At 40.8% G+C, this 16,983-nt stretch overlaps 1 annotated feature.

Moving 5' to 3' along the window:
* Positions 15,866-16,410: an enhancer, noted in NCBI's record as "OCT4-NANOG hESC enhancer chr14:88296681-88297225 (GRCh37/hg19 assembly coordinates)". NCBI's record gives its function as "activates a minimal SCP1, AML or CMV promoter by ChIP-STARR-seq in naive H9 embryonic stem cells {active_cell/tissue: H9 hESC(naive)}" and the evidence as "EXISTENCE:reporter gene assay evidence [ECO:0000049][PMID:30033119]".

A 16,983-nucleotide genomic window follows, 5' to 3' on the forward strand; every position in this document is an offset into this window, starting at 1 on the left:
GATTGATAACACCCAAAGCCTCCAGTCTATGACCTTGTAATAGTCTTAAAGCCCCTGCACCTGGAACTGTTTACCTTCCTGTAACCATTTATCCTTTTAACTTTTTGCCTACTTTATATCTGTAAAATTGTTTTAACTAGAGCCCCCTCCCCTTTCTAAACCAAATTATAAAAGAAAATCTAGCCCCTTCTTCCGGGCCGAGAGAATTTTGAGCGTTAGCCGTCTCTGGGCCGCCGGCTAAATAAACGGACTCTTAATTTGTCTCAAAGTGTGGCGTTTTCTCTAACTCGCTCAGGTACAACAAGATAATGATTAAACTACTGTTTATGTAAGTAATTGCCAGGTACGCTACATGAAAATAAATTTATCAAATAGTTACCAAATAGTAATAACTAATATGTATTAGTGTGTTTCCTGAATAGCAGCATATTTATTACAGAGATTCAGCAAACAGAACTCCCAGTTCCTGGGAATGTCTGCTTTCTACTCAGCATACTGTAATGTCTCTCCCTCAGATTCAGGAATGCTGAGAAAATAACTCTGTGAGTAGAGATGGAGGCAAATGAAAATTATGAAGTATATATTGTTGATATTCTTTGTATGAGTTCAGACACACACATTCACTCTGTAAGCTGGCAAAAATAACGACTGAAAAAGGGAGTTGAAAATATTATGCATAAGTTGGAGTTTGAGACACTGATAAAGACAGGAGAGGGAAATACTGGGTAGAAGAGGGCGGTTCCCTAGCAAAGGCCCTACACTCAAGCCTGGAGACCCGCGGGCCTACGTGGAAATAGGCATTTCTGTTTTCACACCCAAAAAGTTGCCTTTTGGCCCACCACGCCCCCCTATCCTGTACCCATATAAACTCCAAACCCCAGGCTGCAGAAGCAGATGAGCAGGTGAGAAGACAAGGAGAAAAACAGACGAACAGAACGGAACAAAGCGGCAGAGAAAGAGAGGAAGAGAAACATCTGAACACCAAGAGGAGTTCAGCTGGGGGCAGCTGGAGAGGGGTTCAGCCACTGGACGGCCAGGCTCCAGGGGAAGATCATCTTCCCACTCTTTCCTCCCTTCCGGCTCTTCATCCCTCCCACTGAGAGTCACCTCCACCACTCAATAAAAACCTCCACATTCATCCTTCAGGCCCCTGGGTGTCTTCCAGGATGCTAGGAAAGAGCTCAGGATACAGAAAGCTGTTACACTGACCCACTGCACTTGCAAAAAGGAAGAAGGTCCCTTAAGGTGGTTAACACTTGAGCAATCTGCAGATGGCAAAGCTACAACAGCATTATAACACTGGGGCAGCAGACATCCACCCTTAGACACTACTGTGGGGCCGGAGCCCAAAGCCCTCACCCCGGCTCCTGTACCTTCCCATCTTTGTGCTCTCCCTCTTCTCAGAGGTTTGAGCAGCAGCAGCAACCAACCAGGTTAGCCACACCCCTGTCTCATGTCCTGCAAGGGAGATCAGGGAACTCTCCAATTTCAATACTTTCTGTATTTGTTTCTTAGGGGTGCTGTAACAAATTATCACAATTTGGTAGCTTAAAACAACAGAAATTGATTTTCTTGCAATTCTGGAGGTGAGATATTCAAAATCAAAGTGTGGCAGGGCCAAGCTCCTTCTGAAGGCCCTAGGGGGGCATCTGGACCCTACCTCTTCTGCTTCCCATGGATCCAGGCATTCCTTGGCTCCTGGTTGCGTCATTCCAATGTCTGCCTCAGTCTTCTCATCTTCTCTCTGTGTCTCTCTTTTGTGTGCCTCTTGTAAAAACACCTGTGTTCAACAAATTTTATGGGAGGTCATTAGTTTGGATTAACCACCTGCCTGAGGCCCCCCCGGCATCAGACCCAAGGAGAATGGAGTCACTTGTGCTAAGTGCCACATAATTAAACTGAACTTTGAAATGGGTCAGCTTTCCAAAAAAAAAAAAAAAAAAAAAAAAAAAAAACCCAGGAGATCCCAGTCAACCTGAGTCAGTTTAATTTAAAAGTCCTCTCTGTTTTCTCCTTCAAAGGAAAGTAACTTTGAAATAACCAATCTGCATTTTGTCCCAATTCTGCTTTCTCCAGACGTTTTCTGGCTCTAAAGCCAAACCCTCTTTTCTCAGCAGCTGAACCCAGCCCAACCCAGCCAAGAGTTACTTTTGCAAAAGTGGTTTATTTCTGTGCAGAAGCATATGCGTCATAAAGCTAATGAGCTTAAGCTTCACGGCCCTGAATAGCAGGGACTCTCTCAAGGGGGCTGCAGGCATTCATATCCATAATCTGTTATTATTTTTCTTAAAGAGGCTCCCAAAATTCTAGATGTTTCAGGCCTGAAAATCTTGGATCCACCCCATCTTTCATAGTATATCCAATGGCAGTAATAATTTACAGGGTACATAATAGGGGCTCAATATATATTAGTCAAACCAATATAACACCTATCCTGCACCAACACTAGATATAGGCACAGTCTTTGCCTTCAAGAAGTCCAAAGTACAGTGGAGAACAGATATATTAATAAAATAATCACTAAATGTGATGTCATGACTCATTTAAATACTATGAAGCTACATAGGTTTAAGATGGGACATGCGGGAGATCTGACGTAGGCAGAGAGGTTTCTGAGGAAGCAATAGTGGAGTCGTGATCTAAAGAGAATGAGAATTAATTAGAGGGGAGAGAAGTAAGAAGAGAATGTTCCAGGCTGAGAGGATAGAAGTGATAGAGAGAGAAAGAACATCGTATGTCCAAGGAACTGAGAGAAGGTAAATTAGCTGCTGCACAGACAGTGAGGAGGATCTTGGTATAAAATGAGCCTGGGAAGGCAAACCAACCATGCAGGGCCCCAAGAGCCCTGTGAAGATGTTCAGCCTTTATTATAAGAACAGCAGCAAGTTAGTCTGGGTGTTGGGGCAGGGTGGGGAGCACAGATAAGAGTAATGACATGATAGGATGTCTACTTATGACATGCTCTGGCCGCACTACGGAAATCAGCAGGGGCAAGGCAGGGGTGTGTAAGAAGATGCAAGTAGCAGGCTATCGGGGAAGACCAGGAAAGAGGTGACTGTGGTGTGGTGGGTGGTGGGAGCAGTAGGAAAGAAATGAAAAGCATTGCAGAGATGGAGAGACATCAAGAGTAAAATCCTCATACTTGTTGCAGGATTGGTCATGGGGAGTAATGGTGAAAGAGTTGTCAAGGATAATGTTAGGGACTGAATAATTATGTCTCCCCAAATTCATATATTAAAATCCTAACCCCTAGGATGATGGTATTAAGAGGTGGGGCCAACACAGTGTGGTGGCACATGCCTGTTAATTCCAGCACTTTGGGAGGCCAAAGCAGGTGGATCTTTTGAGCCCGGGAGTTTGAGGCCAGCCTGGGCAACACGACAAAACCCTGTCTCTACCAAAATATATATATATATATAAATTAGCCTGCCGGGATAATGCATGCCTGTAGCCCCAGCTACTCAAGAGGCTAAGGTGGAAGGATCACTTGAGCCCGAAAGATGGAAGTTGCCATGAGCCGTGATTGTGCCACTGTACTCCAGCCTGGGCAATAGAGTGAGACCCTGTCTCAAAAAAGAAAAGAAAAGAAAAAAAATGTGGGGTGGGATCTTTGGAGGGTCATTAGGTCATGAGGATGCATCCCTCTGGAATAAGATTGGTGCCCTTATAAAAGAGGCCCTAGTGAACTGCCTTGCCCCATCCATCATGTGAGAATACAGCAAGAAGAAACCTGTCTATGAACCAGTAAGCAGGCCTCACAAAACACCAGACCTGCCAGCACCCTGATCTTGGACTTCCCAGCCTCAAGAACTATGAGAAACAAATTTCTGTTGTTTAAAAGCTACCTAGCCTGTGGTATTCTGTTATAGCAGCCCAAATGGACTAACACAGAAAACTACTGGATCATTTGGGTTGCACCAATGAATAGTGATATGTTAACTGGGATGGAGAACTCTGGAAGAAAACCCATTTGTTTGGATTGGCAGGGGAAGGTTAATGAGTTTCAGTCTCTTCTGGGACTTACTGAATTCACAATGACCTTGAAGCATCCAAATGAAGATGTCAAGAGAGAGGATGGACGAGAGGATTCTGAAATGAAGACATCAATCTGGGACTGAATAAATGGTAACTGAAGTCTCGGGTGTGGATGAAACCATGTAGGGAAAGAAGACAGTGGAAGAAAAGAGATGGGCCCCAAACCAAGCCTAGAGAAGCATCATCTGGCTGGGAAAAGAAGGATCTAAGTACAAAGGAGGGAGAGAAGGAGCAGCAGCGAGAGGACAACCATGAGAATGTGGGGTTAGAACAGTCCAAAGGAGAAGTGTGTTGACAGGAAGCATGTGGTCAGTGAACGGAGCTGAGAAGGCAAGGAAGGTGGGGTCTGGACATCATTGGGTTTAGTGGCCTGAAGGTGCTGCAGCCAAGCTCCTCAGGGGAAGTGGTTAATGAGGGCAGGAGCCAGACTGGAGTGGGCTCCGTGAGGAGGGAAGATAGAGTGCGGTGCTGCAAGGATGTCGGGTTGAGGAGAGATTGTTGGGTGTGTTTGTTTCTGGTTATGTTGTTGCTTTGACTGTTTTTTTATTTCTAATGCCAAAACAAACAAACAAAACAGTTGTTTTCATAAGCCAATGGGAGAATGTATTTGAGGGAGCAATTTGATTAGATGAGAGGGAAGGGGATCATCATTGGCAGCAGGTCTGAGAGAAGGGAGGAGGGGATGGAATTCAGTTTGCAAGTGGTGGAATCGGCCCAAGGCAAGAGAAGAGACATTCCTCTGTTGTAACAGGAACAGAGGTGGGAGAGATGGAGGCAGTGAGTTGCATGGGAAGAAGGTGTCTTCTGCTGGCTTTGTTTCCTGCTGAGAGTGAGGGGGCAGCAGGAAAAGGGGGCAGCGGTTTGCAGAGAGTGAAAGAAGGGATCTGAAAGATTTCAGCAAGAAGTTAGTTCTGCAGACACCAGGTGATATGGTTTGGCTGTGTCCTCACTCAAATGTCTTCCTGAATTGTAGCGCCCATAATTCCCATGTGTTGTGGGAGGGACCTGGTGGAAGATAATTGAATCATGGGGGTGGTTTCCGCCATACTGTTCTCGTAGCAGTGAATAAGTCTCACAAGATCTGATAGTTTTATAAGGGGTTTTCTGCTTTCACTTGGCTCTCATTCTCTCTTGTCTGCCACCATGTAAGGATGTGCCTTTTGCCTTTTGCCTTCTGCCTTCTGCCATGATTGTGAGGCCTCCTCAGCCACATGGAACTGTAAGTCTATTAAACCTCTTTTTCTTTATAAATTACCCAGTCGTGGCACAGATCCCTGGGCCTCATTCCTTCCCAAAGTGCTCTTGGCTTGTATGAAAGGAGTTGTACCAGCATCACAGGAGGCCCTTGGTGTGAACAGAGGTCCAGGCAAAAGGAGTTCATTTCCAGTCTCCAGGCAGTTGTCTGCCTTAGCAGATTTGAAGATTTGAATACCTCTTTGAGGCAAACCATTTCTCTCTTCCAAGAAAACCATGAGTTTTTTTTTTTTTTTGTTTTCTTTTTTTAGGAAAATTGTAAAGTCATTGTAGAGGGAGAAATGGGGACTTGTTGGTCTAAGGATACATAATTACAGTTAGATACGAGGAATATATTTCAAGGGATTTATTGTACAGCAACGTGACTATAGTTAATACATATATAATTTATTCTTGGAAAATGTAAAGAGAGAGGATGTTATGTACTCTTGCCACAAAATAACTATGTGAGGTAATGTATTTGCTAATCAGCTATGTTCAACTATTCCACAATGTGTATATATCACAATGTACATATATGCACACAATGTGTATATATACTATGTATATATGTACTATATATTCTCCAAGATGTGTGTGTGTATACACAAACACACACACACACACACACACACACACACTGGATCATATTATATATGTGATAGAAACATACAATGTTATCTGTAAACTTAAATAATAAAAATACTTAAAGAAACCAATAAAGCCACACAAATTGGAACAGACATTTTAGAGGCCTAGCTAACTCTTCTGCCTGGTGATGTAAACTGTTGTGTGCATTTGAGCCAGAACAATGCCTCACTGGGTCTGCGGCTTTGGCTGCGGAGAAACATCGGTTTGGTCTGGTTGGATTCAGATGTCATGGGGGCTGAGCTGTCACTTGTTCTTCAGGAGATGTCTGTACAATGGTCCCCCCTATCCACAGGGGATATATTCCAAGACCCCCAGTGGATGGTGGAAACCCTGGATACTACCAAACCCTATATATACTATGCATGAATTTCTATTTTCTCCTTTACAATTTCACAGATAGAAGATTCATTCTTAGCATAGATCTTAGCAACTTCAGCATATGACTTTTTCTTTCCTTAAGTCGAGAACTTTCACCTCTTCACTTAAAGGAAGCACTTATTGGCACATTCAAGCTGGTACCATTCCTACTCTTGCATTTTGGAACTATTATTAAGTAAAACAGGGTGATTTGAACACAAACACTGCTATACTGCTGCAGTTGATCTGATCACTGAGATGGCTAAGTGTCTAACAGGCAGGGAGTGTAAACAGCATGGAGACACTGGACAAAGGAAAGATTCACTTCCCCTTGGGAAAGCTTGATATCTCATTGGCCTACTCAGAATGATGCGCCATTTAAAACTCCAGAATTGTTTATTTCTGGAATTTTCCATTTAATATTTTCAGACTGCAGTTGATGGCAGGTAACTAAAACAACAGAAAATGAAACCCTGGCTAAGGGGGGACTACTCTATTCTTACTCACACTTTGATTCTAAGTCAGGAAGCAGACTAATCCGCATAAAGCAATTAGCAAACTGTCCATGACAAGCAGAGACAGAAGTTCAGAAGAGAAAACGCAGCAGTGGTCAGAGTCACCAGGGAAGTTTCTAAAAAGCGTGTACTTGGATGAGACTTTGAAGGACAGAGAAGGCTGGGGAAGTGAGGGGGAAGAACAAGCATTTCCGGCCCACGAGGGGAGCAGCTTGAATGTGATTTCTCTGCACACTGGTCAGGCTTCATCACTTACTAGCTGCGTGGCCTTTGGCAAATTACTTAACCTCTGTCAACCTTCTTTTCCCTAACTGCAGCAAGATCATATTGGTACCTGTCTGTAAGGCTGTACTAATGTAATTCTTATGATGTTCTTACCACAGTGCTTGGGTCATATAAAGCATCCTGTAAGTATAACCAGTATTTTTTTGTTTTGTTATTATTGTGTGCTAGAACATTAAAAGGACAACTATCTCCACATTCCAAAGTGAACATGGAGGCCACCAAGCAGGACTGGCCAAGAAGGTGTAAATGGACACTTTGCAACTCCTAGCCCTCACTCATCCTGAGGGAAGAAAAGGATCATAAGTACACCATTCCTGGGGGAAAAAGTTCGTTTTAAGAGGCTGTGGGTGTGCTTTTGGTCTACCCTCCCAAGGGTAAGGGTGCACCTCACCTCAAGCTGGGGAAAGGGGCTTCATAAGGACTACTTGGATGGGCCTGGTGTCTGATTCAGCCCTGAGAAATACTAAAACCACAGACTCTTCCCCTCTGCTAGTGGAGAGGGGATGCAGCTCCTCATTGGCCTGGGTTCTGAGGGTTTACTGGCATTAAAAAAAAGGCCTGAGTGTTTTCTGTTGGCCACATCTAGGCCAAATGCAAGAAGGAGCCAGCAAGAGGACCCACGAATGTCACTGTCAATGATGACTTCAGGAAAATAAGTTGGAAATGCCTAAGAGCTGAGGAAGGAGCTGTAAGTGGCCAGTTAGAACCAAAACGCATTCACACACATCAAGGGAGAATCAGGTAGGGAATCACTAATCAAGGTATATGTTCATGTCACACTGATACAAGGAAGGTCTTAGAAGGTCTTTTCATGATCACAAAAGACATAAGATTTTTTTCCTGGATTTCATTCAAAATTTGTTTCCTGGATTCATCTAGCCCTACAGAGTAGGTATAAATGGGTGTTGGAGGGAAGGAAGAGAGTTGTTTTCTGATTACATCCCACAGTGTATGTTAGTTCAATGTGCTGATTATAATTGTTATTATTATTCTACTCTAATTACCTTCTTCATTAGACTTTGAACAACAGGAGGGCAGAAATCCCATCTTGTTCATCTGTATATCCATAGCACCAGCCCAGTGCCTGAAATACCATGAATATTTAATAAATTAATGTTCAATGGATGCACGTGTCAACATCCCACAGGAACTGGAGGCCGAGTATGATTCCAAATGGAAGCAGCCCTCATTCAAAGCGGACAACCAGATCTGCTGTCTCCCAGTCAGGGGAAACTTTTGCCAAACACAGGCCGTCTCTAATTCCCTTTTAAATTGTAGTCAATGTTTTCACCCTGAACTCCAGAATTGTATAATTATACCTTATAACATATGGCACACAAAGCTCCACGAGAAGGCATCCCCATCAAAATTTATAAGGCAGAGTTTGCATCTCTGATTTTAAATGGGCTTAACTGCTCGAATTAGAGTAGGTTTTCTATTCCTGGGAGAGAGGAGAGTGTTCAGGAATTCCAAGAACAATCAGGGCAGCAGTGCCCTCCAGCCACCGTCATATTCAATCTCAGCTCAGCTGGAACCAAAGGTGGGGCCCAAGTGTGTGTGGGCTTCTGAAAGAGGAAAGCGAACGTGTCGGCTGATCACAGCGGACTTTTGATTTTTTACAGGAAAAGGAGAAGAGGGCAACATGAAAGATTGAGAGCCAAATATAAAGAAACAATAAGGTGCCTCTTGAACACAGAGATAAAGCCACCTTCTCAGAGGGGACTGGGTGAAGTCAGCACAGGATGGATAGCAGCAGCCCCACCCAAGCCTACGATCCAGCTGCAGGGGCTCTGGAAACACTCAAAAGTAATCAGAGAGACAGGGAGGTTCCTCAGGCCTCAGATGCACCTAAGGAAAGCTGAAATCTAGGCAACTGCCAAAAACAGGATGATACTAAAGTAGACAGCCTTTGTGCATCTAGGAAGAGAGTCCAAGCTGATAAGCTGTGAAGGTTTAAATTGGCCTGGCCAGGGCAGAGACAGTACCTAGCAGATGAGAGAGGTGTATGCTCTCCTGGTCCAGGAAGATTCACATACCTGCCAATGACCTTCCAATGCTTTATCAAAAGCATCCATTCTATGCTCACCAAATAGTCTTTTGATTACCAATTTAGCTTCATGGATTTGGGGAAGAGTTTTAAATAATCCAGAAATTGGTAGGTATAATATTCTTTGCAAGTGAATAGACTTGGATTTTGGTTTATACATCTGATGTTAGAACAGCCTTTCTCTAAGAATAACTCTAGGCGTTTGCAAATCCACCAAACTGTGGTGATGCATTGAGGGCCACCCTCAGTGGATGGGCAGCCAGTAACAGGTCTCTCTGAATTTATCTTGATTGATCTCTTGTTTATAATTCATTTAGAAATACTGATACACAGCGCTAACCACACACACACACACACACACACACACACACACACACCCCACACACACACACAGAGAGAACTCCTACTCATCCTTCAAGGCCCAACTTAAATGCTACACCTCTGAGAATGTTTTCTGCTTAGCCAGTACCTTGTGGGAGGGTGGGGTGAATAAAGGAGACCACAGAATAATTAACGGAATCTTAAAGAACAACTTTTTACAAACTCTTTTTAGCTAAAAAAACTCTTGTTCAACCAAAAGCTGATATGAAAGCCAGTCGGTAAAACATACAAAGTGAAACTTCTGTGGCTGAAGAAGGAATAGGAAGCCAAGAACCTGCTCCCTGGGCTTCCCCAATCCCCCTCATCACACTGAAGCCCCTCATACCACAGTTTGAAAACCCCTTATCTAGTCTAACTCTCATCTTACAAATGAGGAAATTGATCTGGAATCTAATGTCAGAAAACAGTTTATGCAATCATGTCATGTGGTTCTCCCAAAGCATAGATGATAAATAACATGACATTTATGCTATCCATTCCCAGTCTTGGTAGGCATAAGTAATTAATCCCAGATGTGGCTTCAGAATCCTTCTCAACATACTGTTCCAGTAAACTGCTAACACTTGATTGAAGTTGACATGTAAGACACACTTATTTACCATTCCTATTTGAAAATTAATGTTTTCCTGTCCTAAATGTTAACATATTTTATATTTATCACATCAACCCAAGTAATTAATATTTAAAAGTATATAAAAGGCTTTAATATTATCCACAACCCAATAGAAATCTTTTTTTCATCACCTCTCCATTTAGGTAATGGTCTTGAATTATGCATTTTGGGAGTTGACCTTCCAAATCTAGTGGTGTTAAGTAAATAACTATTATCTAATTACATTTCCTTTACTAGATTAAAATATAAAAATAAACATCTAGATTTCTTCCTTGGTGGTGGTGTCAATGCCACCTCAAAAATAAAAAGGTTGGGGGAGTATCTTTAACTGACTCAAGTTTGGTTGATTCAAGCCTGAGATAAAAAAAAATGGCATATTAAATTCCAATTCTAGTTTAGCTATTCTCATTTTTTAAAAAATATTCAGCTCTTCTTTATTAAGATTTTTTTTCTGGGGGAAGAAATGAATGTTTTCTGCCAATTAATTTAGCTGATTTATGTACAGTGACTATGGACAATGGCCCAGGTGAGCTTTAAGACACAGCATACAGAGAGAGAACCGATCTCTTTCCCTAGGTTCCTGCCTAGGGTTTTAAAACAGAAATGTCTTTCCTCTTGAAAGAACTTGGGAGAAAAGTGATTGTCCTTTTTACTATCCTTTCACCCAGCCTGCCCCATAGAGAAGGAGTCACTTATCTGCTTGGGCAGGTTAGGACCAATCACTTACGCCCACTTGGCAGAGTCTTCAGCAGTCTCTCTCCATCTCTCTCATTCCCTGGCGCCTGCTGGAACCTTGACTGTATATAGATTCTCCCCTTCATGCAGTGATGCTTATGCAATACCTTAGCCTTCTAAATCTGACCACACTAGAGAAGACAGGCCTTTCCTTTCTCTGGAATTAGGAATGAGCCCTGCCAGAGATCTTCCTCCTACCTGTCTCAATTTTTAGCATCAAATTCATTTGGATTTTTCGGCTTTAAGGTATGAATCTTCAAAGGATTGACTTATTTGAAGGTCTACATGAATATCTGATTAGCTTCTCCATATACTGATGTATATCATGGTGAGGAAGGGAAGAATTTTCAAATCCTCAGGTTAACTCTGAAGTCAGAATATCCATCCTACTGCCATTGTTTGAGGGCTAAAATAACTATGAATTTATGATAAACTTTCTTCCAAAAATCTACATGTCAAATACTTTGACTTTGGGCCCTTATACATAAATTTTTTTCAAGATCTTGGAAATCTTTATGGAAATGTTTTCACTTCTATTTTAATAACAATAATTATAAGTGTAAAAAAGAAATTATTCATATAGTAGCACAAATTCAAGTAGTACTAAATGGCCCAAAATGAAAAATAAGTCTTCTTTCCCTCTCTGCAACCAAGAGTCCCACTATTTAGAAGTAACCACACATAAATGCTTCTTTTGTGTAGCTCTTACTGACTTACTCCTTAATATTAAAATGTTTGCATACTTTATTCTTCTTATTTGATAACTTGAAGCATTAGGTACTAACTGCATGCTTTGAAAAATGAGGAATTAATTCATTTACACCACCTCTCATACTCTTTGATATTTCTGCCAGCCACTTTTTTTTAAATTCTATGAGTTATATTCACATGTCTAAATTATGAATTTTTAGTCCCGAAACCATTGACTTTACACAAGGTTTTGACCCATTAACTTTAGACAATATGTTAGGATGAGGAAGTTAGGATACATTTGACTTAATATCTCCTCATAGCCTTCTAACTCCTGCCTCCCATCTGCCCCTCATTCCAACATGTCATTAACTTTATATGGTCAATGTCAAGGTTTGTAACATTTATATTAATGACAAAAGCATACTAAGGCTTCATGCTTTGCTTATAAGTTGATTCTAAACTGAAAGCCAAAAGCTAGCTTTAACAACACGATTATGTATATACTACTCACTGCAAGCCATGAAGTATATAATTGGACCAGCAGAGAAAACACTGTAATACTAAATCACTAAACATGTTCTGCTCAAAGGAGAAAGTAATTATCAAAACTTTGGAGGAGTAGAAATAGAGCAGCATATTTTAAATATATATATATACATAATAATTAAACCGTATACTTTCACTGTATTACTAAGATCACTCAGTGTCTTCAACCCTCTGTTGGTTGAAGGATATCATTTTTTTCTTGGACATATTTTCCAGGGATCTTTCTACTCCATGTTTTAGTGTGGACTAACTTATTTCCATACCTGCTGCATTTTTTTCATCCTGGTATTTCTTTTTATCATATTCCTAGGTTGTGTCCACATTTTCTTATATCCATGTCTGTAATTTTCTTGGATTTCTTTTTTTAATTGAATGTTTGATTTTAATTTTTTTATTATACTTGAAGTTCTAGGGTACATGTGCACAACGGGCAGGCTTGTTACATATGTATACATGTGCCATGTTGGTGTGTTTCAAGATAATTATAGATGTATATGTAGTTATAAGAAATAATACAGAGAGATTCCCAGGTACCTTTTACCAAGTTTAACCCAACGGTAACATGTTACAAAACTAGAATGCAGTATCAAAACCAGAATATTGACATTAACACAGTTAAGATTCACAACATTTCCCAGCATCACAAAGATCCTTCATGTCTCCCTTTTATGGCCACACTCTTCTCTCCCACCTTAACCAGTGGCAACCAGTAATGTGTTCTCCATTTCTATAATGTTGTCATTTTAAGCATGTTATACACATGGAGTTATACAGTATGTAACCTTTGGGAGTTTGATTTTTTTACAGTCAGCATACTTCTCTAAGGTTTACCCAATTAATTGTATATATCCACAGTTTGATCATTTTTGTTGGTGAATAGTGTTTCATGGTATCTATGTACCAGTCTTGTGTCATTATTTATAACATTAGCTGTAGGTTCTGTGTAGATGCTCTTTATCAGGTTAAGTTCCCTTCTATCCATATTTTCTGAGAGTTTGTTTTTTTCTTTTTTCTTTTTTGAGAGGGAGTCTTGCTCTGTTGCCAGGTTGGAGTGCAGTGGCACTATCTCGGCTCACTGCAACCTCCGACTCCCGGGTTCAAGTGATTCTCCTGCCTCAGCCTCCCGAGTAGCTGGGAGTACAGGCGCACACCACCATGCCCAGCTAATTTTTGTATTTTTAGTAGAGATGGATGGGGTTTCACCAAATTGGCCAGGATGATCTTGATCTCCTGACCTCAGGATCCACCCGCCTCAGCCTCCCAAAGTGCTGGGATTACAGGCATGAGCCACCGCACCCAGCCTTTTCTGAAAGTTTTATCATGAAGACGTGCTGAATTTTATCAAGTGCTTTTTTCTGTATCAATTGATAAGACTGTGATTTTTTTCTTCATTAGCTTGCTAATAATGATGGATGATACTGATTGACTTTTAAATATTGAATTATCCTTGCATCCCTGGAATTTAGCCTATGTGGTCATTTTTATATGTATTGCTGAATTTATTTGCTAATAATTTGTTAAGAATTTCTGCATATATATTTATTACAAATATTGGTCTTTAATTTTCTTTTTTTGTATTGTCTTTGTCTGATTTTAGTATCATTGAAAAATAACTTCATAAAACGAATTGAGAAGTGTGAACTCTTCTTGTATTTCCTGGAAGAGATTGTGTATTAGTGATGTTAATTCTTCTTTATGTGGATTTAATTATGTTTATTCTATTTGAGTTTGCTTAGCTATTTGAAGCTGTAGATTTATGTCTTCTGCCAAATGTGGAAAAATTTCAACCATTATTTCTTTGAATACTTTTTCAGCCCTGCCCTGCTCTCTTTTTTTCTCCTTTTAGATATCCAATGACACAAAAATTAGATCTTTTGTTAGAGTCTCACAGGTCCCTAAAGTTTTATTCATTTTTATTTTTAGTCTGTTTTCCAGACAAGGTCATTTCTATCCTTTTTTTTTTTTTTTTTTTTTTTTTTTTTTGAGACAGAGTCTCACTCTTTCTCCAGGCTGGAGTGCAGTGGCATGATCTCGGCTCGCTGCAACCCCCAACTCCTGGGTTCAAGCAATTCTCCTGCCTCAGCTTTCTGAGTAGCTGGGGTTACAGGCACACACCACCATGCCCAGCTAATTTTTGTATTTTTAGTAGAGACGGGGTTTCACCATGTTAGCCAGGATGGTCTCGATCTCCTGGCCTCGTGATCCACCTGCCTTGGCCTCCCAAAGTGCTAGGATTACAGGCGTGAGCCACCACGCCCAGCCTATCATCCTATCTTAACAATAGAAATTGCCGACTTCATAGAGGAGATAGAAATATTTTCATTCATTTTTCCCTGTCCCTTCTATTCTGCCACTGAGTCTGCCAACTGAGCTTTTTATTTTGATTATTATATATTTTACTTGTAAAATATCCATTTGCCTCTTCTTTACATGTTCTATTTCCTTGCTGAGACTTTTTATCTTTTCATTTGTTTTAAGCATGTTTGTTAATGCTCATTGAAGTACTTTTATAGTGGCCCCTTTCAAATTTAGGTAAGTCTGATATCTGTCATTTTGCTGGCATCTATTGGTAGTCTTTTTTCATTCAGTTTGAGAATGTCTTGGCTCTTGGTATAGATGATTTTCACTTAAAATTTGGATATTTTGGTTATAATATTATAAGACTCTGGTTCTTATTTAGACATTCCATTTTAATTGGCTTCTTCCAACATCACTCTGGCATGGGATGGAGGAGCACCAAATGTTATTACTGCCAAGTCGGGGTAAAGTCCAAATTTCCTACGTGGCCTCCAGTGACACCCAAGAAAGGGTGTTCCTCATTATTGCTGGGCTGAGTGGGAACCCCTTCACCCCACTAGGTTTCCACAGATATTGTCCTGTTCAGGAAGAATAGGAGTGCCTTATTGCTGTTCACCACATGGCTTCCTTAACACGTGGGTAGGGTGGGGGGAAAAATGTAGTCTCATTACCATAGAATGGTGTGAAAGTCCTGCTCTCTACTTACCCTTCTCTGACCCCATCCTGGTAGAGTATTGGGTTACCTCATTACAGCTTGACAAAGGTGAAAATCTGGGCTCCCCATGATGCTCTTTGCTGGCATGGGTGGAGGTGGAGCCTCAGTTTTTTTTGTTTTTTTGTTTTTTCCTGTGGTATTTGGCTTAGGTAGAGCAGTTATTGTCTAAAAGTTTCCTGTCTCAGTTGGCTGACTTTCCAGTCCTTTGGCTAGACAGAGCAGGCTTTGGTCAGGGCCTTTTTTGTCTGTTCCATTTATGTTACTGGGTTGCCAGCTTCTTCAATTCCAAGACTGAGATATATGAGACAAAAAAATTATTGAGGTCCTTAGCTGGTCTACCTTCTTTTCTCCAGCTTCCAGAGTCTTCTTATGTTTGTTTGATATATAATGTCCAAGGTTTTTTTGTTGTACTTGGTGGAGGAAACAGGAAAAAGTATGCCACTCCATCTTCTGAGAAATGAAGTCTGAAATTCTTTTTAATTTTTCTGGAGTATATATATTATTTTCAGACAGTAGGTCTTAGAGGTAAAATATCTGAGTCCTTGCATGTCCAAAAAAGGTCTCTACCTTTGCCCTCACTAGATACATAGTTTGTAGTGAGGATAAAAAGACTTTGGGGTGGAATCACCTCTAGTTTCAGCTTTAACGTGTAAAGAACTTGGAAATTATCACTCCCATCTTTACAATAAGAAAAGGCTGAAAAAAAAACTGAAATCAGTGACTTGTCTTGGATCCACCAGAGAACTGAGATCTCAGGGCAAATTATCACCTTGAAACCTGGAGAGATGAATAAATCCAAATCCCAACAGAGATCTGTTTGCTTGGAAGACAAGTCACTGGAGTCATAAACACGTAGGAACACTTAAATGGTAATTTTGGCAAATTGTTCAGTGCTGAGTATACTAGCAGGAGAATGAGAGCCTCCTAAGGGCCACATTCCTAAGTTTTATTTCCTGGGGTTTGACCAAGTTTTCATAATGAAAAGGCAAGAAAGATCCTGTAGTTACTCTGGCAGGGAAAAGGAAAAAGGAACCATTGTCAGCATTCTTCATAACAAAGGCCAGAGGATTTTATCAGAGTGTTATTCCACTTGGGGCAAGGGCATTTTTTCTCACTCCAGTCCCCTCTAGCTATCCTATCTCACCTAAGTCAAGGAGGTTAGAAAAACTAAGAAACACCTATGAAGGTCACAGCCCTGAGACACAGTTCTATTAAAAGAAAGAGATTTAATCGTAAGATTAGAAATGCTTCCCCTCCCCAACATTTTGCCAACAGAACAAAAGGGCTCCTGTACAAAGAATGGATTACAGCTGAAAGAGCAGCAAAGTGCAGACTCCTCCTGAGGAGGAGTACTTAGGTAAGCCCAAAGCCAACAGAGGAGATAAAACAAGGTCGCTAAAGGAATTCAAAGTCTGGCACCTGCAGCTACAGCCAATATTAAACACAATCCAACTCCTTGCCAAATTAGCATAAAATTTCCCATGAAAGGCCTATTTACCTCATTTCCTATATCCAACATGCAGAGTTTTCAACAAAAAATTACAAGTCCAAAAGGCAAGAAGAAACACAGTTTGAAGAGATAAAGCAAACATCAGAACCAGACTCAGACATGACATGGGTGTTGGAATTATCAAACACGTATTTTTTAAATCATTGCAATTAATATATTAAGAGCTCTAATGGGAAAAAATAGACAACTCGCAAGAAGAAACGAGTAATGTAAGCAAAGAGATGGAAATGCTAAGAAAGAATTTTTTAAATACTAGAAATCAAAAACATTGTGTGCTCATTTTCTAGGGCTACCATAACAAATTATCAAAAATTGTGTGGAATTAAAGAACAGAAATTTATTCCTCACAATCCAGAGGCCAGAAGTCTG

This window comes from Homo sapiens, chromosome 14 (assembly GCF_000001405.40).
Source record: "Homo sapiens chromosome 14, GRCh38.p14 Primary Assembly".
NCBI classification, from domain to species: Eukaryota; Metazoa; Chordata; class Mammalia; order Primates; family Hominidae; genus Homo; species Homo sapiens.